This window comes from Homo sapiens, chromosome 11, assembly GCF_000001405.40.
Source record: "Homo sapiens chromosome 11, GRCh38.p14 Primary Assembly".
Lineage (NCBI taxonomy): Eukaryota > Metazoa > Chordata > Mammalia > Primates > Hominidae > Homo > Homo sapiens.
This window is the reverse complement of record NC_000011.10, coordinates 114615351-114640047: the sequence shown is the minus strand read 5'-3', so window position 1 is coordinate 114640047 and position 24697 is coordinate 114615351. Positions and strand designations below refer to the sequence as shown.

Below are 24697 nucleotides of genomic sequence, written 5' to 3'. Positions count from 1 at the left end.
ATAAAATAATATAATTATGTTACATTATAAAATAATATATTATTACATTATATAACATTATTATATTATATTATATATAATATATTTAATACAAACTATTATGTTATATTTAATATAATATATAATATAATATTATATTTTATATTTAATATAATATATAACATATTTTATATTTAATATAAAATATAATATATATTATATTTTATATTTAATATAATATATATTATATTTTATATTATTTTATATTTAATATAATATATATTATATTTTATATTATTTTATATTTAATATAATATATATTATATATTATTTTATATTATATTACTATATTATATATTATAGAATATATTATAGAATAGATACAATATATTACATATATAATACAAGTAAATTATATATAAATAAATTATATGTAATATGTTACATAGGTGGGGCAGCCAAGATGGCCGAATAGGAACAGCTCCAGTCTACAGCTCCCGGCCTGAGCGATGCAGAAGACAGCTAATTTCTGCATTTCCACCTGAGGTACCAGGTTCATCTCACTAGGGAGTGCCAGACAGTGGGCACAGGACAGTGGGGGCAGCGCAGCGTGCATGAGCCGAAGCAGAGCATGGCATTGCCTCACTCAGGAAGCGCAAGGGGTCAGGGAGTTCCCTTTCCTAATCAAAGAAAGGGGTAACAGACGGCACCTGGAAAATCGGGTCACTCCCACCCTAATACTGCACTTTTCCGACGGGCTTAAGGAACGGTGCACCAGGAGATTATATCCTGCACCTGGCTCGGAGGGTCCTATGCCCACAGAGTCTCGCTGATTGCTCGCACAGCAGTCTGAGATCAAACTGAAAGGCGGCAGTGAGGCTGGGGGAGGGGTGCCCACCATTGCCCAGGCTTGCTTAGGTAAACAAAGCAGCCGGGAAGCTCGAACTGGGTGGAGCCCACCACAGCTCAAGGAGGGCTGCCTGCCTCTGTAGGCTCCACCTCTGGGGGCAGGGCACAGACAAACAAAAAGACAGCAGTAACCTCTGCAAACTTAAATGTCCCAGTCTGACAGCTTTGAAGAGAGCAGTGGTTCTCCCAGCTCACAGCTGGAGATCTGAAAATGGGCAGACTGCCTCCTCAAGTGGGTCCCTGACCCCTGACCCCCAAGCAGCCTAACTAGGAGGCACCCCCCAGTAGGGGCAGACTGACACCTCACACGGCTGGGTACTCCACTGAGACAAAACTTCCAGAGGAACAATCAGACAGCAGCATTCACGGTTCACGAAAATCCGCTGTTCTGCAGACACTGCTGCTGTTACCCAGGCAAACAGGGTCTGGAGTAGACTTCTAGCAAACACCAACAGACCTGCAGCTGACGGTCCTGTCTGTTAGAAAGAAAACTAACAAACAGAAAGGACATCCACACCAAAAACCTATCTGTACATCACCATCATCAAAGACAAAAGTAGATAAAACCACAAAGATGGGGAAAAAACAGAGCAGAAAAACGGGAAACTCTAAAAAGCAGAGCACCTCTCCTCCTCGAAAGGAACACAGTTCCTCACCAGCAATGGAACAAAGTTGGACGGAGAATGACTTTGATGAGTTGAGAGAAGAAGGCTTCAGACAATCAAACTACTCTGAGCTACAGGAGGAAATTCAAACCGAAGGCAAAGAAGTTAAAAACTTTGAAAAAAAATTTAGACGAATGGATAACTAGAATAACCAATACAGAGAAGTGCTTAAAGGAGCTGATGGAGCTGAAAACCAAGGCTCGAGAACTACATGAAGAATGCAGAAGCCTCAGGAGCTGATGTGATCAACTGGAAGAAAGTGTATCAGTGATGAAAGACGAAATGAATGAAATGAAGCGAGAAGGGAAGTTTAGAGAAAAAAGAATAAAAAGAAATGAACAAAGCCTCCGAGAAATATGGGACTATGTGACAAGACCAAATCTACATCTCATTGGTGTACCTGAAAGTGACGGGGTGAATGGAACCAAGTTGGAAAACACTCTGCAGGATATTATCCAGGAGAACTTCCCCAATCTAGCAAGGCAGGCCAACGTTCAGATTCAGGAAATACAGAGAACGCCACAAAGATACTCCTCGAGAAGAGCAACTCCAAGACACATAATTGTCAGATTCACCAAAGTTGAAAGGAAGGAAAAAATGTTAAGGGCAGCCAGAGAGAAAGGTCGGGTTACCCTCAAAGGGAAGCCCATCAGACTAACAGCAGATCTCTTGGCAGAAACTCTACAAGCCAGAAGAGAGTGGGGGCCAATATTCAACATTCTTAAAGAGAAGAATTTTCAACCCAGAATTTCATATCCAGCCAAACTAAGCTTCATAAGTGAAGGAGAAATACAATACTTTACAGACAAGCAAATGCTGAGAGATTTTGTCACCACCAGGTCTGCCCTAAAAGAGCTCCTGAAGGAAGCGCTGAACATGGAAAGGAACAACCGGTACCAGCCACTGCAAAATCATGCCAAAATGTAAAGACCATTGAGACTAGGAAGAAACTGTATCAACTAACGAGCAAAATAACCACTTAACATCATAATGACAGGATCAAATTCACACATAACAATATTAACTTTAAATGTAAATGGACTAAATGCTCCAATTAAAAGACACAGACTGGCAAATTGGATAAAGAGTCAAGACCCATTAGTGTGCTGTATTCAGGAAACCCATCTCACAGGCAGAGACACACATGGGCTCAAAATAAAAGGATGGAGGAAGATCTACCAAGCAAATGGAAAACAAAAAAATGCAGGGATTGCAATCCTAGTCTCTGATAAAACAGACTTTAAACCAACAAAGATCAAAAGAGACAAAGAAGGCCATTACTTAATGGTAAAGGGATCAACTCAACAAGAAGAGCTAACTATCCTAAATATATATGGACCCAATACAGGAGCACCTAGATTCATAAAGCAAGTCCTGAGTGACCTACAAAGAGACTTAGACTCCCACACGTTAATAATGGGAGACTTTAACACCCCACTGTCAACATTAGACAGATCAATGAGACAGAAAGTCAACAACGATACCCAGGAATTGAACTCAGCTCTGCACCAAGTGGACCTAATAGACATCTACAGAACTCTCCACCCCAAATCAACAGAATATACATTTTTTTCAGCAACACACCACACCTATTCCAAAATTGACCATATACTTGGAAATAAACCTCTCCTCAGAAAATGTAAAAGAACAGAAATTATAACAAACTGTCTCTCAGACCACAGTGCAATCAAACTAGAACTCAGGATTAAGAAACTCACTCAAAACTACTCAACTACATGGAAACTGAACAACCTGCTCCTGAATGACTGCTGGGTACATAACGAAATGAAGGCAGAAATAAAGATGTTCTTTGAAATCAATGAGAACAAAGACACAACGTACCAGAATCTCTGGGACACATTCAAAGCAGTGTGTAGAGGGAAATTTATAGCACTAAATGCCCACAAGAGAAAGCAGGAAAGATCCAAAATTGACACCCTAACATCACAATTAAAAGAACTAGAAAAGCAAGAGCAAACACATTCAAAAGCTAGCAGAAGGCAAGAAATAACTAAAATCAGAGCAGAACTGAAGGAAATAGAGACACAAAAAACCCTTCAAACAATTAACGAATCCAGGAGCTGGTTTTTTGAAAGGATCAACAAAATTGATAGACCGCTAGCAGACTAATAAAGAAAAAAAGAGAGAAGAATCAAATAGACGCAATAAAAAATGATAAAGGGGATATCACCACCGATCTCACAGAAATACAAACTACCATCAGAGAATACTACAAACACCTCTACGCAAATAAACTAGAGAATCTAGAAAAAATGGATAAATTCCTCGACACATACACCCTCCTAAGACTAAACCAGGAAGAAGTTGAATCTCTGAATAGACCAATAACAGGCTCTGAAATTGTGGCAATAATCAATAGCTTACCAACGAAAGAGTCCAGGACCAGATGGATTCACAGTCGAATTCTACCAGAGGTACAAGGAGGAACTGGTACCGTTCCTTCTGAAACTATTCCAATCAATAGAAAAAGAGGGAATCCTCCCTAACTCATTTTATGAGGCCAGCATCATCCTGATACCAAAGACGGGCAGAGAAACCACCAAAAAAGAGAATTTTAGACCAATATCCTTGATGAACATTGATGCAAAAATTCTCGATAAAATACTGGCAAACCGAATACAGCAACACATCAAAAAGCTTATCCACCATGATCAAGTGGGCTTCATCCCTGGGATGCAAGCCTGGTTCAATATATGCAAATCAATAAATGTAATCCAGCATATAAACAGAACCAAAGACAAAAACCACATGATTATCTCAATAGATGCAGAAAAGGCCTTTGACAAAATTCAACAATACTTCAGGCTAAAAACTCTCAATAAATTAGGTATTGATGGGACATATCTCAAAATAATAAGAGCTATCTATGACAAACCCACAGCCAATATCATACTGAATGGGCAAAAACTGGAAGCATTCCCTTTGAAAACTGGCACAAGACAGGGATGCCCTCTCTCACCACTCCTATTCATCAGAGTGCTGGAAGTTCTGGCCAGGGCAATTACGCAGGAGAAGGAAATAAAGGGTATTCAATTAGGAAAAGAGGAAGTCAAATTGTCCCTGTTTGCAGACGACATGATTGTATATCTAGAAAACCCCATTGTCTCAGCCCAAAATCTCCTCAAGCTGATAAGCAACTTCAGCAAAGTCTCAGGATACAAAATCAATGTACAAAAATCACAACCATTCTTATACACCAACAACAGACAAACAGAGAGCCAAATCATGAGTGAACTCCCATTCACAATTGCTTCAAAGATAATAAAATACCTAGGAATCCAACTTACAAGGGACGTGAAGGAACTCTTCAAGGAGAACTACAAACCACTGCTCAAGGAAATAAAAGAGGATACAAACAAATGGAAGAACATTCCATGCTCATGGGTAGGAAGAATCAATATCGTGAAAATGGCCATACTACCCAAGGTAATTTATAGACTCAATGCCATCCCCATCAAGCTACCAATGACTTTCTTCACAGAATTGGAAAAAACTACTTTAAAGTTCATATGGAACCAAAAAAGGGCCCTCATCACCAAGTTCATCCTAAGCCAAAAGAACAAAGCTGGAGGCATCACACTACCTGACTTCAAACTATACTACACGGCTACAGTAACCAAAACAGCATAGCACTGATACCAAAACAGAGATATACATCAATGGAACAGAACAGAGCCCTCAGAAATAATGCCACATATCTACAACTATCTGATCTTTGAGAAACCTGAGAAAAACAAGCAATGGGGAAAGTATTCCCTATTTAATAAATGGTGCTGGGAAAACCAACTAGCGATATGTAGAAAGCTGAAACTGGATCCCTTCCTTACACCTTATACAAAAATTAATTCAAAATGTATTAAAGACTTAAATGTTAGACCTAAAACCATAAAAACCCTAGAAGAAAACCTAGGCAATACCATTCAGGACATAGGCATGGGCAAGGACTTCATGTCTAAAACACCAAAAGCAATAGCAACAAAAGCCAAAATTGACAAGTGGGATCTAACTAAACTAAAGAGCTGCTGCACAGCAAAAGAAACTACCATCAGAGTGAACAGGCAACCTACAAAATGGGAGAAAATCTTCACAACCTACTCATCTGACAAAGGGCTAATATCCAGAATCTACAATGAACTCAAACAAATTTACAAGAAAATAACAAACAACTCTATCAAAAAGTGGGCAAAGGACATGAACAGACACTTCTCAAAAGAAGACATTTATGCAGCCAAAAAACACATGAAAAAATGCTCACCATCACTGGCCATCAGAGAAATGCAAATCAAAACCACAATGAGATACCATCTCACACCAGTTAGAATGGCAATCATTAAAAAGTCAGGAAACAACAGGTGCTGGAGAGGATGTGGAGAAATAGGAACACTTTTACACTGTTGGTGGAACTGTAAACTAGTTCAATCATTGTGGAAGTCAGTGTGGCGAATCCTCAGGGATCTAGAACTAGAAATACCATTTGACCCAGCCATCCCATTACTGGGTATATACCCAAAGGGCTATAAATCATGCTGCTATAAAGACACATGCACACATATGTTTATTGTGGCACTACTCACAATAGCAGACTTGGAACCAACCCCAATATCCAAAAATGATAGACTGGATTAAGATAATGTGGCACATATACACCATGGAATACTATGCAGCCATAAAAAATGGTGAGTTCACATCCTTTCTAGGGACATGGATGAAATTGGAAATCATCATTCTCAGTAAACAATCGCAAGGACAAAAAACCAAACGCCACATGTTCTCACTCATAGGTGGGAATTGAACAATGAGAACACATGGACACAGGAAGGGGAACATCACACTCTGGGGACAGTTGTGGGCTGGGGGCAGGGTGGGAGGGATAGCATTATGAGATATACCTAATGCTAAATGACGAGTCAATGGGTGCAGCACACAAGCATGGCACATGTATATATGGATAACTAACCTGCACATTGTGCACATGTACCCTAAAACTTGAAGTATAATAATACTAAAATAAAAAAAAGAAAAAATATACATTGTATACTATACTATATTGTATATAACATATAATAAAATATAATATATAATATATAATATAATACATAATATATTATATAGTATATATAATATAATCATATAATAAAATGTAATACCACATAATATAATTATATATTTTATTACATTAGAATTTTATAATATAACATAATACTATATAACATTCTTATATATTATATATTATATGTTACATATATTTATATATATAATGTAATATACATGTTTATACATAATAAAATATAATCATATAAATTATATAAAATAAAATACCAAATATATAAAATAATATATGAAATATAAATTATATAAAATATAATGTAAAATATATAAAATACATAAAAGATAAATTATAAAAAACAAAATATAAAATAATAATGCAATTATATAATAAAATATTACATTATATATTATATAATATATATTATTATATATTATATAAAAATATATAATATATAATATATAATTATATAAAATATCATATAATATATATTATTATATAATTATATAAAATATAATATTGTATTACATAAAATTATATAATATATAATTATATAATTATATATTATATAATTATATAATTTTATAATATATTATTATAAATTATATATATATAATATATAATTATATATAATTATATAATATATAATATATAATTATATAATATATGATATATTATAATATATTTTATATATATTATATATTATATATATTATATTATATTATATAAATATATAAATTTATATATATAAATATATATACTATATATTTATTTTACATTTATTATTTACATTTATTATATATAAATATATATAAAATATAAATATATACATCAATATACAATAAATATATGATATATGTAAATATATAACAAATATATACATATATAATAAATATATAGCAAAATATAATATAAAATAAAATACTATAATATATATTATGGAGTATTATATAGTATATATAATGTATAACTCTTATAAATTATATATTATATATTTATATTTATATTATATAAAATTATATATGTATATTTATATTTATATCATATATAACTATATGTAATATATAATATTTATATATTATATATTCTATTATGTTACCCAGTGGATAATAAGTATTGGTGGTGGTGGTGGATAATATACATATATAGTATATATACATATATATTATACATATATACACATATACATATATATTATACATATATACATATACATATATAATATGTATATATGATCATTTATTTATTATATATTATATGATAAATTTTATTTATAACATAATAAATTATAATATATTTTATTATAATATATAATTTATATATTACATTATATTTACAATATAATAATATTATACTATACAATTCTTACATATTATTAAATTATATATTATATATAAAGTATAATTATTATCTATTAGGTAATAGTAGCTGTTACCTATGAGGCAATATTTATTATCCAGTACGTAATAGTAGTTACCTACAAGGCAATATTTATTATCCACCGGGTAACAGTAGTGACCCACGAGGCAATACTTATTATCCACTGGGTAACAGCGGTTACCCACGACACAATACTTATTATCCACCGGGTAACATCGGTTACCCATGAGGCAATACTTATTATCCACTGGGTAACAGTGATTACTCATGAGGCAATACTTATTATCCACCGGGTGACAGTGGTTACCCACGAGGCAATACTTATTACCCACCGGGTAACAGTGGTTACCCACGAGGCAATACTTTTTTTATATATATACTTTAAGTTTTAGGGTACCTGTGCACAATGTGCAGTTTAGTTACATATGTATACATGTGCCATGCTGGTGCGCTGCACCCACTAACTCGTCATCTAACCTTAGGTATATCTCCCAGTGCTATCCCTCCCCCCTCCCCCCACCCCACAACAGTCCCCAGAGTGTTATGTTCCCCTTCCTGTGTCCATGTGTTCTCATTTTTCAGTTCCCACCTATGAGTGAGAATATGCAGTGTTTGGTTTTTTGTTCTTGCGATAGTTTACTGAGAATGATGATTTCCAATTTCATCCATGTCCCTACAAAGGACATGAACTCATCATTTTTTATGGCTGCATAGTATTCCATGCTGTATATGTGCCACATTTTCTTAATCCAGTCTATCATTGTTGGACATTTTGGTTGGTTCCAAGTCTTTGCTATTGTGAATAATGCCGCAATAAACATATGTGTGCATGTGTCTTTATAGCAGCATGATTTATAGCCCTTTGGGTATATACCCAGTAATGGGATGGCTGGGTCAAATGGTATTTCTAGTTCTAGATCCCTGAGAATCGCCACACTGACTTCCACAATGATTGAACTAGTTTACAGTCCCACCAACAGTGTAAAAGTGTTCCTATTTCTCCACATCCTCTCCAGCACCTGTTGTTTCCTGACTTTTTAATGATTGCCATTCTAACTGGTGTGAGATGGTATCTCATTGTGGTTTTGATTTGCATTTCTCTGATGGCCAGTGATGGTGAGCATTTTTTCATGTGTTTTTTGGCTGCATAAATGTCTTCTTTTAAGAAGTGTCTGTTCATGTCCTTTGCCCACTTTTTGATGGGGTTGTTTGTTTTTTTCTTGTAAATTTGTTTGAGTTCATTGTAGATTCTGGATATTAACCCTTTATCAGATGAGTAGGTTGCGAAGATTTTCTCCCATTTTGTAGGTTGCCTGTTCACTCTGATGGTAGTTTCTTTTGCTGTGCAGAAGCTCTTTAGTTTAATTAGATCCCATTTGTCAATTTTGGCTTTTGTTGCCATTGCTTTTGGTGTTTTAGACATGAAGTCCTTGCCCATGCCTATGTCCTGAATGGTAATGCCTAGGTTTTCTTCTGGGGTTTTTATGGTTTTAGGTCTAACGTTTAAGTCTTTAATCCATCTTGAATTGATTTTTGTATAAGGTGTAAGGAAGGGATCCAGTTTCAGCTTTCTACATATGGCTAGCCAGTTTTCCCAGCACCATTTATTAAATAGGGAATACTTTCCCCATTGCTTGTTTTTCTCAGGTTTCTCAAAGATCAGATAGTTGTAGAAATGTGGTGTTATTTCTGAGGGCTATGTTCTGTTCCATTGATCTATATCTCTATTTTGGTACCAGTACCATGCTGTTTTGGTTACTGTAGCCTTTTAGTATAGTTTGAAGTCAGGTAGTGTGATGCCTCCAGCTTTGTTCTTTTGACTCAGGATTGACTTGGCGATGAGGGCTCTTTTTTGGTTCCATATGAACTTTAAAGTAGTTTTTTTCCAATTCTGTGAAGAAAGTCATTGGTAGCTTGATGGGTACAGCATTGAATCTGTAAATTACCTTGGGCAGTATGGCCATTTTCACGATATTGATTCTTCCTACCCATGAGCATGGAATGTTCTTCCATTTGTTTGTATCCTCTTTTATTTCCTTGAGCAGTGGTTTGTAGTTCTCCTTGAAGAGTTCCTTCACGTCCCTTGTAAGTTGGATTCCTAGGTATTTTATTATCTTTGAAGCAATTGTGAATGGGAGTTCACTCATGATTTGGCTCTCTGTTTGTCTGTTGTTGGTGTATAAGAATGGTTGTGATTTTTGTACATTGATTTTGTATCCTGAGACTTTGCTGAAGTTGCTTATCAGCTTGAGGAGATTTTGGGCTGAGACAATGGGGTTTTCTAGATATACAATCATGTCGTCTGCAAACAGGGACAATTTGACTTCCTCTTTTCCTAATTGAATACCCTTTATTCCCTTCTCCTATGTAATTGCCCTGGCCAGAACTTCCAACACTCTGATGAATAGGAGTGGTGAGAGAGGGCATCCCTGTCTTGTGCCAGTTTTCAAAGGGAATGCTTCCAGTTTTTGCCCATTCAATATGATATTGGCTGTGGGTTTGTCATAGATAGCTCTTATTATTTTGAGATATGTCCCATCAATACCTAATTTATTGAGAGTTTTTAGCATGAAGGGTTGTTGAATTTTGTCAAAGGCCTTTTCTGCATCTATTGAGATAATCATGTGGTTTTTGTCTTTGGTTCTGTTTATATGCTGGATTACATTTATTGATTTGTGTATATTGAACCAGGCTTGCATCCCAGGGATGAAGCCCACTTGATCATGGTGGATAAGCTTTTTGATGTGCTGCTGGATTCCGTTTGCCAGTATTTTATTGAGGATTTTTGCATCAATGTTCATCAAGGATATTGGTCTAAAATTCTTTTTTGGTTGTGTCTCTGCCCGGCTTTGGTATCAGAATGATGCTGGCCTCATAAAATGAGTTAGGGAGGGTTCCCTCTTTTTCTATTGATTGGAATAGTTTCAGAAGGAATGGTACCAGTTCCTCCTTGTACCTCTGGTAGAATTCGACTGTGAATCCATCTGGTCCTGGACTCTTTTTCATTGGTAAGCTATTGATTATTGCCACAATTTCAGAGCCTGTTATTGGTCTATTCAGAGATTCAACTTCTTCCTTGTTTAGTCTTGGGAGGGTGTATGTGTCGAGGAATTTATCCATTTCTTCTAGATTCTCTAGTTTATTTGCATAGAGGTGTTTGTAGCATTCTCTGATGGTAGTTTGTATTTCTGTGGGATCGGTGGTGATATCCCCTTTATCATTTTTTATTGCGTCTATTTGATTCTTCTCTCTTTTTTTCATTATTAGTCTTGCTAGCTTTCTATCAATTTTGTTGATCCTTTCAAAAAACCAGCTCCTGGATTCGTTAATTTTTTGAAGGGGTTTTTTGTGTCTCTATTTCCTTCAGTTCTGCTCTGATTTTAGTTATTTCTTGCCTTCTGCTAGCTTTTGAATGTGTTTGCTCTTGCTTTTCTAGTTCTTTTAATTGTGATGTTAGGGTGTCAATTTTGGATCTTTCCTGCTTTCTCTTGTGGGCATTTAGTGCTATAAATTTCCCTCTACACACTGCTTTGAATGTGTCCCAGAGATTCTGGTACGTTGTGTCTTTGTTCTCATTGGTTTCAAAGAACATCTTTATTTCTGCTTTCATTTCGTTATGTACCCAGTAGTCATTCAGAAGCAGGTTGTTCAGTTTCCATGTAGTTCAGTGGTTTTGAGTGAGATTCTTAATCCTGAGTTCTAGTTTGATTGCACTGTGGTCTGAGAGACAGTTTGTTATAATTTCTGTTCTTTTACATTTTCTGAGGAGAGGTTTATTTCCAAGTATATGGTCAATTTTGGAATAGGTGTGGTATGTTGCTGAAAAAAATGTATATTCTGTTGATTTGGGGTGGAGAGTTCTGTAGATGTCTATTAGGTCCACTTGGTGCAGAGCTGAGTTCAATTCTTGGGTATCGTTGTTGACTTTCTGTCTCATTGATCTGTCTAATGTTGACAGTGGGGTGTTAAAGTCTCCCATTATTAACGTGTGGGAGTCTAAGTCTCTTTGTAGGTCACTCAGGACTTGCTTTATGAATCTAGGTGCTCCTGTGTTGGGTCCATATATATTTAGGATAGTTAGCTCTTCTTGTTGAGTTGATCCCTTTACCATTAAATAATGGCCTTCTTTGTCTCTTTTGATCTTTGTTGGTTTAAAGTCTGTTTTATCAGAGACTAGGATTGCAATCCCTGCATTTTTTTGTTTTCCATTTGCTTGGTAGATCTTCCTCCATCCTTTTATTTTGAGCCCATGTGTGTCTCTGCCTGTGAGATGGGTTTCCTGAATACAGCACACTGATGGGTCTTGACTCTTTAACCAATTTGCCAATCTGTGTCTTTTAATTGGAGCATTTAGTCCATTTACATTTAAAGTTAATATTGTTATGTGTGAATTTGATCCTGTCATTATGATGTTAAGTGGTTATTTTGCTCGTTAGTTGATACAGTTTCTTCCTAGTCTCAATGGTCTTTACATTTTGGCATGATTTTGCAGTGGCTGGTACCGGTTGTTCCTTTCCATGTTCAGCGCTTCCTTCAGGAGCTCTTTTAGGGCAGACCTGGTGGTGACAAAATCTCTCAGCATTTGCTTGTCTGTAAAGTATTGTATTTCTCCTTCACTTATGAAGCTTAGTTTGGCTGGATATGAAATTCTGGGTTGAAAATTCTTCTCTTTAAGAATGTTGAATATTGGTCCCCACTCTCTTCTGGCTTGTAGAGTTTCTGCCAAGAGATCTGCTGTTAGTCTGATGGGCTTCCCTTTGAGGGTAACCCGACCTTTCTCTCTGGCTGCCTTTAACATTTTTTCCTTCATTTCAACTTTGGTGAATCTGACAATTATGTGTCTTGGGGTTGCTCTTCTCGAGGAGTATCTTTGTGGCGTTCTCTGTATTTCCTGAATCTGAACGTTGGCCTGCCTTGCTAGATTGGGGAAGTTCTCCTGGATAATATCCTGCAGAGTGTTTTCCAACTTGGTTCCATTCACCCCGTCACTTTCAGGTACACAAATGAGATGTAGATTTGGTCTTGTCACATAGTCCCATATTTCTCGGAGGCTTTGTTCATTTCTTTTTATTCTTTTTTCTCTAAACTTCCCTTCTCACTTCATTTCATTCATTTCATCTTCCATCACTGATACCCTTTCTTCCAGTTGATCGCATCAGCTCCTGAGGCTTCTGCATTCTTCACGTAGTTCTCGAGCCTTGGTTTTCAGCTCCACCAGCTCCTTTAAGCACTTCTGTGTATTGGTTATTCTAGTTATACATTATTCTAAATTTTTTTCAAAGTTTTCAACTTCTTTGCCTTTGGTTTGAATGTCCTCCCATAGCTCGGAATAATTTGATTGTCTGAAGCCTTCTCTCAGCTCATCAAAGTCATTCTCCGTCCAGCTTTGTTCTGTTGCTGGTGAGGAACTGCGTTCCTTTGGAGGAGGAGAGGCGCTCTGCTTTTTAGAGTTTCCCGTTTTTCTGCTCTGTTTTTTCCCCATCTTTGTGGTTTTATCTACCTTTGGTCTTTGATGATGGTGATGTACAGATGGGTTTTTGGTGTGGATGTCCTTTCTGTTAGTTTTCCTTCTAACAGACAGGACCGTCAGCTGCAGGTCTGTTGGAGTACCCGGCCACGTGAGGTGTCAGTCTGCCCCTGTTGGGGGGTGCCTCCCAGTTAGGCTGCTCGGGGGTCAGGGGTCAGGGACCCACTTGAGGAGGCAGTCTGCCCATTCTCAGATCTCCAGCTGTGTGCTAGGAGAACCACTGCTCTCTTCAAAGCTGTCAGACTGGGACATTTAAGTCTGCAGAGGTTACTGCTGTCTTTTTGTTTGTCTGTGCCCTGCCCCCAGAGGTGGAGCCTACAGAGGCAGGCAGCCCTCCTTAAGCTGTGGTGGGCTCCACCCAGTTCGAGCTTCCCGGCTGCTTTGTTTACCTAAGCAAGCCTGGGCAATGGCGGGCGCCCCTCTCCCAGCCTCGCTGCCGCCTTGCAGTTTGATCTCAGACTGCTGTGCTAGCAATCAGTGAGACTCCGTGGGCGTAGGACCCTTTGAGCCAAATGCGGGATATAATCTCCTGGTGCGCCGTTTTTTAAGCCCATCGGAAAAGTGCAGTATTCGGGTGGGAGTGACCTGATTTTCCAGGTGCCGTCTGTCACCCCTTTCTTTGACTAGGAAAGGGAACTCCCTGACCCCTTGCGCTTCCCGAGTGAGGCAATGCCTCACCATGCTTCAGCTTGCACGTGGTGTGCTCACCCACTGACCTGCACCCACTGTCTGGCACTCCCTAATGAGATGAACCTGGTACCTCAGATGGAAATGCAGAAATCACCTGCCTTCTGCGTCGCTCATGCTGGGAGCTGTAGACCGGGGCTGTTCCTACTCGGCCATCTTGGCTCCTCCCTGAGAGGCAATACTTATTATCCACCGGGTAACAGCAGTTACCCACGAGGCAATATTTATTATCCACCAGATAACAGTGGTTACCCACGAGGCAATACTTATTATCCACCGGGTAACAGTGGTTACTCATGAGGCAATACTTATTATCCACCTGGTAACAGTGGTTACCCACGAGGCCATACATATTATCCACCGGGTGACAGTGGTTACCCAAGAGGCAATACTTATTATCCATGTGGTAGAAGTGGTTGCCCATGAGGCAATACTTATTATCCACTGGGTAACAGTGGTTACCCAAGAGGCAATACTTATTATACACCCAGTAACAGTGGTTACCCACAGTGCAACACTTATTATCCACTGGGTAACTGTGGTTACGCATGAGGCAACTCGTATTACCCACTGGGAAACAGTGGTAACCCACGAGGCAATACGTATTATCCAACAGGTAACAGTGGTTACCCACAAGGCCACACGTATTATCCACTGGGTAACAGTGGTTACCCACAAGGCAATACTTATTATCCAGTCATTAGAAGTGGTTACCCATGAGGCAATACTTATTATCCACCAGGTAATGGTGGTTACCCACGGGGCAATATTTATCATCCACAGGGTAACAGTGTTTACCCCCGAGGCAACACTTACTATCCACAAGGTAACAGTGGTTACTCACGAGGCAACACTTACTATCCACAAGGTGACAGTGGTTACTCACGAGGCAACACGTATTATCCACCAGGTAACAGTGGTTACCCATGAGGCCACACTTATTATCCACCAGGTTACAGTGGTTTCCCATGAGGCAGTACTTATTATCCACCAGGTAACAGTGGTTACCCACAAGGCAATACTTACTATCCACCGGGTAACAGTGCTTACCCACGAGGCAATACTTACTATCCACTGGGTAACAGTGGTTACCCTGGAGGCAATACTTATTATCCACCAGGAGACAGTGGTTACCCTAGAGGCAATACTTATTTTCCACCAGGTAACCATGGTTACCCACAAGGCAATACTTATTATCCACTGGGTAACAGTGGTTGCCCATGAGGCAATACTTATAATCCACCAGTTAACAGTGGTTACCCACGGGGCAATACTTATTATCCACTAGGTAACAGTGGTTACCCACGAGGCAATAATTATTATCCAGTGGGCAACAGGGCTTACCCATGGGCAATACTTATTATCCAGCAGGTAACAGTGGTTACCCATGAGGCAATAATTATTATCCAGTGGGTAACAGTGGTTACCAATGAGGCAATACTTATCATTGAACGGGAAACAGTGGTTACCCTGGGGCAATAATTATTATCCACTGAGTAACTGTGGTTACCAATGAGGCAACACTTATTATCCACCGGGTAACAGTGGTTACTCACGAGGCAATATTTATTATCCACCGGGTCACAGTGATTACCCTAGAGGAAACATCTGTCATCCACCAGGTAACAGTGGTTACCCTAGAGGCAATAGTTATTATCTACCATATAACATTGGTTACACATGAGGCAATACTTATTTTACAATGGGTAACAGTGGTTACCCACGACATAAAACCTATTATCCAGAGGGTAACACTGGTTACCCACAAGACAACACTCATTATCCACCAGGTAACAGTGGTTACCCATGAAGCAACACTTATTATCCACCGGGTAACAGTGGTTACCCACGAGGCAATACTTCTTATCCACTGGATAACAGTGGTTACCCCAGAGGTCGTTCTTATTATCCACTGGGTAGCAATGATTACCCTAGGGGCAATACTTACTATCCCCTGGGTAACAGTTGTTAACCACGAGGCAACACTTATTATCCACCAGGTAACAGTGGTTACCCACGAGGCAATTCTTGTTATCCATAGGGTAAGAGTGGTAACCCACGAGGCAACATGTATTATCCACCAGTTAACAGTGGTTACCCATGAGGCAATACTTATTATCCATCGGGTAACACTGTTTTCCCACGAGGCAATGCTTATTATCCACATGGTAAGAGTGGTTACACACAAGGCAACACTTATTATCCAGTGGGTAAAACGGGTAACCCATGAGGCAACACTTATTTTCCAAGGGTAACAGTGGTTACCCATGAGGCAATACGTATTATCTGCCAGGTAACAGTGTTTATCCACGAGGGAATACTTATTATCCACTGGGTAACAGTGGTTACCCGAGAGGAAATAATTATTATGCACCGGATAACAGTGGTTACCCATGAGGGAATACTTATTATCCAGCGGGTAACAATGGTACCCACTGCGCAATACTTATTATCCCACGTTTAAAAGTGGTTACCCTACAGGCGATACTTATTTTCCACCAGGTAACAGTGATTACCCTAGAGGCAATAATTGTTATCCACTGGGTAACAGTTGTCACCCACGAGGCAATATGTATTACCCACCGGGAAACAGTGGTTATGCTAGAGGCAATATTTATGATCCACTGGGTAACAATGGTTACCCTAGAGGCAATAATTATTATCCACCGGTTAACACTGGTTACCCACAAGGCAACACTTATTATCCACCGGGTAACAGTGCTTATCCGCCAGGCAACGCTAATTATCCACCAGATAACAGTGGTTACCCTCAAGGCAACACTTATTATCCACCGGGTAACAGGGGTTTCCCGCAAGGCAACACTTATTATCCACCAGGTAACCGTGGTTTCCTACGAGGCAATACATATTACCCAATGGGTAACAGTGGTAACCCACGAGGCAATACGTATTATCCACAGGGTAACAGTGGTTACCTATGAGGCAATACTTATTATCAACTGGTTAACAGTGGTATCCCATGAAGCAATACTTACTATCCACTGGGTAAGAGTGGTAACCCATGAGGCAATACTAATTATCCACAAGGCAGCAGTGATTACCCATGAGGCAACACTTATCCGCTGGGTAACAGTGGTTACACACGAGGGAACACGTATTATCCACCGGGAAAAGGGGTTAACCACTAGGCAACATTTATTATCCACCGGGTAACACTGGTTACCCACGAGGCAACACTTATTATCCACTGGGTAACAGTGTTTACCCACGAGGTAATGCTTATTACCCACCGGGTAGCAGTGGTTACCCACGAGGCAATACCTATTATCCACAGGGTAACAGTGGTTACCCATGAGGCAATAATTATTTTCCACTTGGTAACAGTGGTTATCCATGAGGCAATACTTATTGTCCACTGGGTAACAGTGGTTACGCAGAAGGCAACACTTATTATACACCGGGTAACAGTGGTTACCCACAAGAAATACTTATTATCCACTTGGTAACAGTGGTTACCCACGAGGCAACACTTATGATGCATTGGGTAACAGTGGTTCCCCATGAGGCAACAATTATTATCCAGCAGGTAACAGTGATTACTCACGAGGCAACACTTATTATCCACTGGATAACAGTGGTTAACCAGGAGGCAACACTTATTATCCACCAGGTAATAGTGGTTACCCACGAGGCAATACTTATTATCCACTGGGTAACAGTGGCTACCCATGAGGCAATATTTATTATCCACCGAGTAACAGTGGTTACTGATGAGGCAGTACTTATTATCCACCAGGTAACAGTGGTTACCCATGAAGGAATACTTATTATCCACTGGGTAACAGTGGTTACCCATGAGCCAGTACTTATTATCCACCGGTTAACAGTGGTTACCCATGAGGCCATACTTATTATCCACAGGGTAACAGGTGTTACCCATGAGGCAATACTTATCCACCAGGTAACTGGTTACCCACAAATCAATACTTATTATCCAGCAGGTAACAGTGTTTACCCATGAGGCAATATTTATTTTCCAGCAGGTAACAGTGGTTACCCACAAGGCAATAATTATTATCCAGTGGGTAACAGTGGTTACCCATGAGGCAATACCTATTATCTAGCAGTTAACCGTGGTTACCCACAGGGCAATCATTATGATCCACTGAGTAACAGTGGTTACCAATGAGGCATCACTTATTATCCACAGGGTAACAGTGGTAACCCACAAGGCAATACTTATTATCCACTGGGTCACAGTGGTTACCCTAGAGGAAACATTTATTATCCAACAGGTAACAGTGGTTACCCTAGAGGTAATACTTATTATCCACTGTTTAACAGTGGTTACACACGAGGCAATACTTATTTTCCAATGAGTAATAGAGGTTACCCATGAGGCAATACTTATTATCCACTGGGTAACAGTGATTACCTTAGAGGCAATACTTATTATCCACAGGGTAACTGTGGTTACCCACGAGATAACAGATATTATGCAGCAGATAACAGTATTTACTAACGAGGCAACACTTATTATCCAGCGGGTAACAGTGGATACCCACAAAGCAATACTTGTTATCCACCGGATAACAGTGGTTACCCATGAGGCAACACGTATTATCCACCGGGTAACTGTGGTTACCCATGAGGCAACACTTATTATCCACCAGGTAACAGTGGTTACCCACGAGGCAACACTAATTATCCACTGGGTAACAGTGTTTACCCATGAAACAATACTTATTATCCACAGGGTAACAGTGGTTTCCCATGTGCCAATACTTATTATCCACGGGGTAATAGTGGTTACCAACGAGGCAACACTTATTGTGCACTGCGTAACAGTGGTCAACCACGAGACAACACCTATTATCCAGAGGGCAACAGTGGTTACCCATGAGGGAACACTTATTATCCAACAGGTAAATGTGGTTACCCACAAGGCAATGCTTATTGTCCACAGGGTAACTGTGGTTACCCGTGAGGCAATACTTATTATCCATCGGGTAACAGTGGTTACCCACAAGGCAACACTTATTAGACACAGGGTAACAGTGGTTCCCCTGAGGCAACACTTATTATCCACCAGGTAACAGTGGTTAGACATGAGGCAATACTTATTATACATCGGGTAACTGTGGTTACCCAAGAGGCAGTACTTATTATCCACCAGGTAACAGTGGTTACCTGGGAGACAATATTTATTCTCCACTGGGTAATCCACTGGGTTACTCTAGAGGCAACACTTATTATCCACCGCGTAACAGTGGTTACCCTAGAGGCAACACTTATTATCCACCGCGTAACAGTGGTTACCCTAGAGGCAACACTTATTATCTACCGCCTTAAAGTGGTTACCCTAGAGGCAACACTTATTATCCACCGGGCAACAGTGGTTACCCTAGAGGCAACAATTAATACCCACTGGGTAACAGTGGTTACCCATGACTCAACACTTATTATCCAATGGGTAACAGTGGTTACCCACGAGGCAACACTTATTTTCCACCGGTAACAGTGGTTACCAGTGAGGCAATATTTATTATCCACCAGGTAACAGTGGTTACCCACGAGGCATTACTTATTATCCACCGGGTAACCGTAGTTACCCACGAGGCAATAATTATTATCCAACGGATAACAGTGGTTACCCATCAGGCAAAAGTTAGTATCCAGCGGGTAATGGTGGTTACCCATGAGGCAATATTTATCATCTACCAGTTAACAGTGGTTTCCCACGAGGAAATACGTATTATCCACTGGGTAACAGTGGTTACCCAAGAGGCAACACTTATTATACACCAGGTAACAGTGGTTACCCACGAGGCAGTAGTGAGTATCCATTGGGTAACAATGGTTACCCACGAGGCAATACTAACTATCCACCAGGTAACAGTGGTTACTCACGAGGCAACACTTATTATCCACCGGGTAACAGTGGTTACCCATGAGGTAACACTTATTTTCCACAGGATAAGAATTCTTACCCACGAGGCAACACTTGTTATCCAGCGGGTAACACTGGTTACCAACGAGGCAACACTTATTATAAACTGGGTAACAGTGGTTACTCACGAGGCATTACTTATTATCCACCTGGTAACAGTGGTTACCCAAGAGGCAATACTTATTAACCACAGGGTAACAGTGATTACTCAAGAGGCAATACTTATTATCCACTGGGAAACAGTGGTTACCCACAAGGCAACACTTATTATCCACAGGGTAACAGTGGTTACCCACGAGGCAACACATTTTCCACTGGGAAGCACTGGTTACCCACGAGGCAACACATTATCCACCAGGTAACAGTGGTTACCCACAAGGCAACACTTATCCTCCACCGGGTAACAGTGGTTACCCACGAGGCAACACTTATCCTCCACTGGGTAACAGTGGTTACCCACGAGGCAACACTTATTCTCCACCGGGTAACAGTGGTTACCCACGAGGCAACACTTATCCTCCACTGGGTAACAGTGGTTACCCAGGTGGCAACACTTATTATCTACCGGGTAACAGTGGTTACACACAAGGCAACACTTATTATCCAGCGGGGAACAGTGGTTACCCACGAGGCAATACTTATTATCCACCAGGTACCATTGATTACTCAAGAGGCATTACTTATATTCTACCGGGTAAGAGTGGTTACCCTAGAGGCAATACTTATTATCCACAGGGTAACAGTGATAACCCTAGAGGCAATACTTATTACCCACTGGGTAACAGTGGTTACCCACGAGGCAACACTTATTATCCACAGTGCAACAGTGGTTACCCATGATGCAATACTTATTATCCACCAGGTAACAGTGGTTACCCATGAGGCCACACTTATTATCAACTGGGTAACAGTGGTTACCCTAGAAGCAATACCTATTATCCACCAGATAACAGTGTTTACCCATGCGGTACTACTTATTATCCAGTGGGTAGCAGTGATTACCCATGAGACAGTCCTTATTATCCTCCGGGTAACAGTGGTGACCCATGAGGCAATACTTAGGATCCACTGGGTACCAATGGTTGCCCACGAGGCAATACTTACTATCCACTGGGTAACACTGGTTTCCCACGAGGCAACACTTTTTATCCACCAGATAACAGTGGCTACGCACGAGATAACACTTATTTTCCACAGGGTAAGAATTGTTACCCACGACACAGCACTTATTATCAAGTGGGTAATACTGGTTACGCAAGAGGCAACACTTATTATAAACCGGGGAACAGTGGTTACTCACAAGGCAATACTTATTATCCACAGGGTAACAGTTGTTACCCACGAGGCAATACTTATTATCCACTGGGTAACAGTGATCACCCTAGAGGCAATACTTATTATCCACTGGGAAACAGTGGTTACCTACGAGGCAACACTTATTATCCACAGGATAACAGTGGTTACCCATGAGGCAATACTTACTATCCACCAGGTAACAGTGGTTACCCATGAGGCAATACTTATTATCCACTGGGTAACAGTGACTACCCATGAGGCAACACTTATTATTGACCAGGTAACAGTGGTTACCCTAGAAGCAATACCTATTATCCAACAGATAACAGTGGTTACCCATGCGGTAATACTTATTATCCAGTGGGTAGCAGTGGTTACCCATAAGACAATCCTTATTATCCTCCGGGTAACAGTGGTGACCAATGAGGCAATACTTAGTATCCACCGGGTACCAATGGTTACCCACGAGGCAATACTTACTATCCACCAGGTAACACTGGTTTCCCACGAGGCGACACTTAATATCCACCGGGTCACAGTGGTTACCCATGAGGCAACACTTATTATCCACAGGGTAAGAGTTGTTACCCACGAGGCAACACTTATTATCCAGCGGGTAACACTGGTTACCCACGAGGCAACACTTATTACAAACTGGATAACAGTGGTTTCCCACGAGGCAATACTTATTATGCAGCAGATTACAGTGGTTACCCATGAGGCAATACTTATTATCCGCCAGGTAAGAGTGGTTACCCATGAGGCAATACTTATTATCAACTGGGTAACACTGGTTTCCCATGAGGCAACACTTATTATCCATCGGGTAACCGTGCTTACCCACAAGGCAACACTTATTATCCACATGGTAACAGTGGTTACCAAGGAGGCAATACTTATTACGCATTGGGTAACAGTGGTTACCCACGAGGCAGTACTTTTTATCCACCGGGTAACAGTGGTTACCCTAGAGGCAACACTTATTATCCATTGGGTAACAGTGGTTACCCTAAAGGCAACACTTATTATGCACCGGGTAACACCGGTTACCCGTGAGGCAACTATTATTTTCCACTGGGTAACAGTGGTTAGCCACGAGGCAACACGTATTATCCACCGGTTAACAGTGGTTACCCACGAGGCAACATTTGATATCCAGCAGATAACAGTGGTTATCCACGAGGCAATACTTATTATCCACCCGGTAACAGTGGTTACCCACGAGGCAATACTTATTATCTACCGGGTAACAGTGGTTACCAATGACGTAATACTTATTATCCACCAGGTAAGAGTGGTTACCCACGAGGCAAAACTTAGTATCTGGTGGGTAATGGTGGTTATCCACGAGGCAATATTTATCATCCACCAGGTAACAGTGGTTACCCACGAGGAAATATTTATTATCCAATGCGTAACAGTGGTTACCAACAAGACAACACTTATTATCCACTGGGTAACAATGGTTACCCACAAAACGTCACTTATTATCCACAGGGTAACAGTGGTTACCCACGAGGCAACACTTATTATCCATGCATTAACAGTTGTTACCCAAGAGGCAATACTTACTACACTGGGTAACAGAGGTTACCCACGAGGAAATACTTATTATCCACCAGGTAACAGTGGTTACCCACAAGGAAACACTAATAATAAACCGGGTAAGAGTGGATACCCACAAGGCAACACTTATTATCCACCAGGTAACAGTGGTTACCCACGAGACAATACCTAGTATCCAGCGGGTAACAGTCATTACCCATGAGGCAATATTTATTATCTACTGGGTAACAGTGGTTACCAACGAGGCAACACTTATTATCCACTGTGTAACAGTGGTAAGCCAAGAGGCAACACTTATTATCCACCGGTTAACCGTGGTTACCCAGGAGGCAACACTTATTATACACTGGGTAACAGTGGTTTCAGACGAGGCAACACGTATTATCCAACGGGTAACAGTGGTTACCCAATAGGCAACATTTATTATCCAGTGGGTAACTGTGGTTACCCATGAGGCAATACTCATTATCCACTGGGTAACAGTGATTACCCATGAGGCAATAATTTTTATCCACTGGGTAACAATGGTTACCCACCAGACAATACATATTATCCACCGGTTAACAGTGGTTACCCTCGAGGCAACACTTATTATCCATTGGGTAACAGTGGTTACACTAGAGGCAACACTTATTATTCACCAGGTAACACCGGTTACCCACGAGGCAACAATTATTTTCCACTGGGTAACAGTGGTTACACGTGAGGCAACACTTATCCATCAGGTAACAGTGGTTACACGTGAGACAACACTTATTATCCAGGGGCTTACAGTGGCTACCCACGAGGCAACATTTATTGTCCTCTGGGTAACAGTGGTTACCAGTGAGGCAATACTTATTATCCACCAGGTAACAGCAGTTACTCATGAGACATTACTTATCATACACAGGGTAACCATGGTTACCCACGAGGCAATACTTATTATCCACCGGATAACAGTGGTTACCCATGATGCATTACTTATTATGCAGCAGGTAACAGTGTTTACCCATGAGGCAATACTTATTATCCACCGGGTAAGAGTGGTTACCCACGAGGCAATACTTATTATCCACTGGGTCACAGTGCTTTTCCACGAGAGAATACTTATTATCCAATGGGTAACAGTGGTTACCCATAAGTCGATACATATTATCCACCAGGTAACAGTGGTTACCCACGAGGCAACACTTATTATTGACCAGGTCACAGTGCTTACACACGAGGCATCTCTTATTATCCACAGGGTAACAGTGGTTACCCAGGATGCAATACTTATTATCCATTGGGTAACAGTGGTTACCCATGAGGCAGTACTTATTATCCACTGAGTAACAGCGGTTACCCGTGAGGCAATACTTATTATCCAATGGATAACAGTGGTTACCCTAGAGGCAACACTTATTATCCATCGGGTAACAGTGGTTACCCTAGAGGCAACACTTATTATCCACCAGGTACCAGTGGTTACCCATGAGGCAGCAAATATTATTCACCAGGTAAAGGTGGTTACCCACGAAGCAACACTTATTATCCACCGGGTAACAGTGGTTACCTGTGAGGCAACATGTATTATCCACCAGGTAACAGTGGTTACCCACGAAGCAATACTTATTATCCACTGGGTAACAGTGGTTACCCATGAGGCATTACTTATTCTCCATAGGGTAACTGTGGTTACCGAGGCAATACTTATTATCCACCGGGTAACAGTGGTTATCCACGAG

General features: G+C 40.1%; 2 protein-coding genes across 7 annotated transcripts in view, besides 1 other annotated feature; one reads left to right on the top strand and one right to left on the bottom strand.

The window, feature by feature from the left end:
* The window catches only part of NXPE2 (neurexophilin and PC-esterase domain family member 2), a 349427-nt gene that overhangs the window by 173655 nt on the left and 151075 nt on the right, over positions 1-24697 (bottom strand). The window lies entirely within an intron of this gene.
* NXPE4 (neurexophilin and PC-esterase domain family member 4) overlaps positions 1-24697 on the top strand; it is a 107660-nt gene that overhangs the window by 38203 nt on the left and 44760 nt on the right. The window lies entirely within an intron of this gene.
* Positions 21192-21251: a silencer, noted in NCBI's record as "silent region_3917". NCBI's record gives its function as "represses an Ori minimal core promoter by ATAC-STARR-seq in GM12878 lymphoblastoid cells {active_cell/tissue: GM12878}" and the evidence as "EXISTENCE:reporter gene assay evidence [ECO:0000049][PMID:35858748]".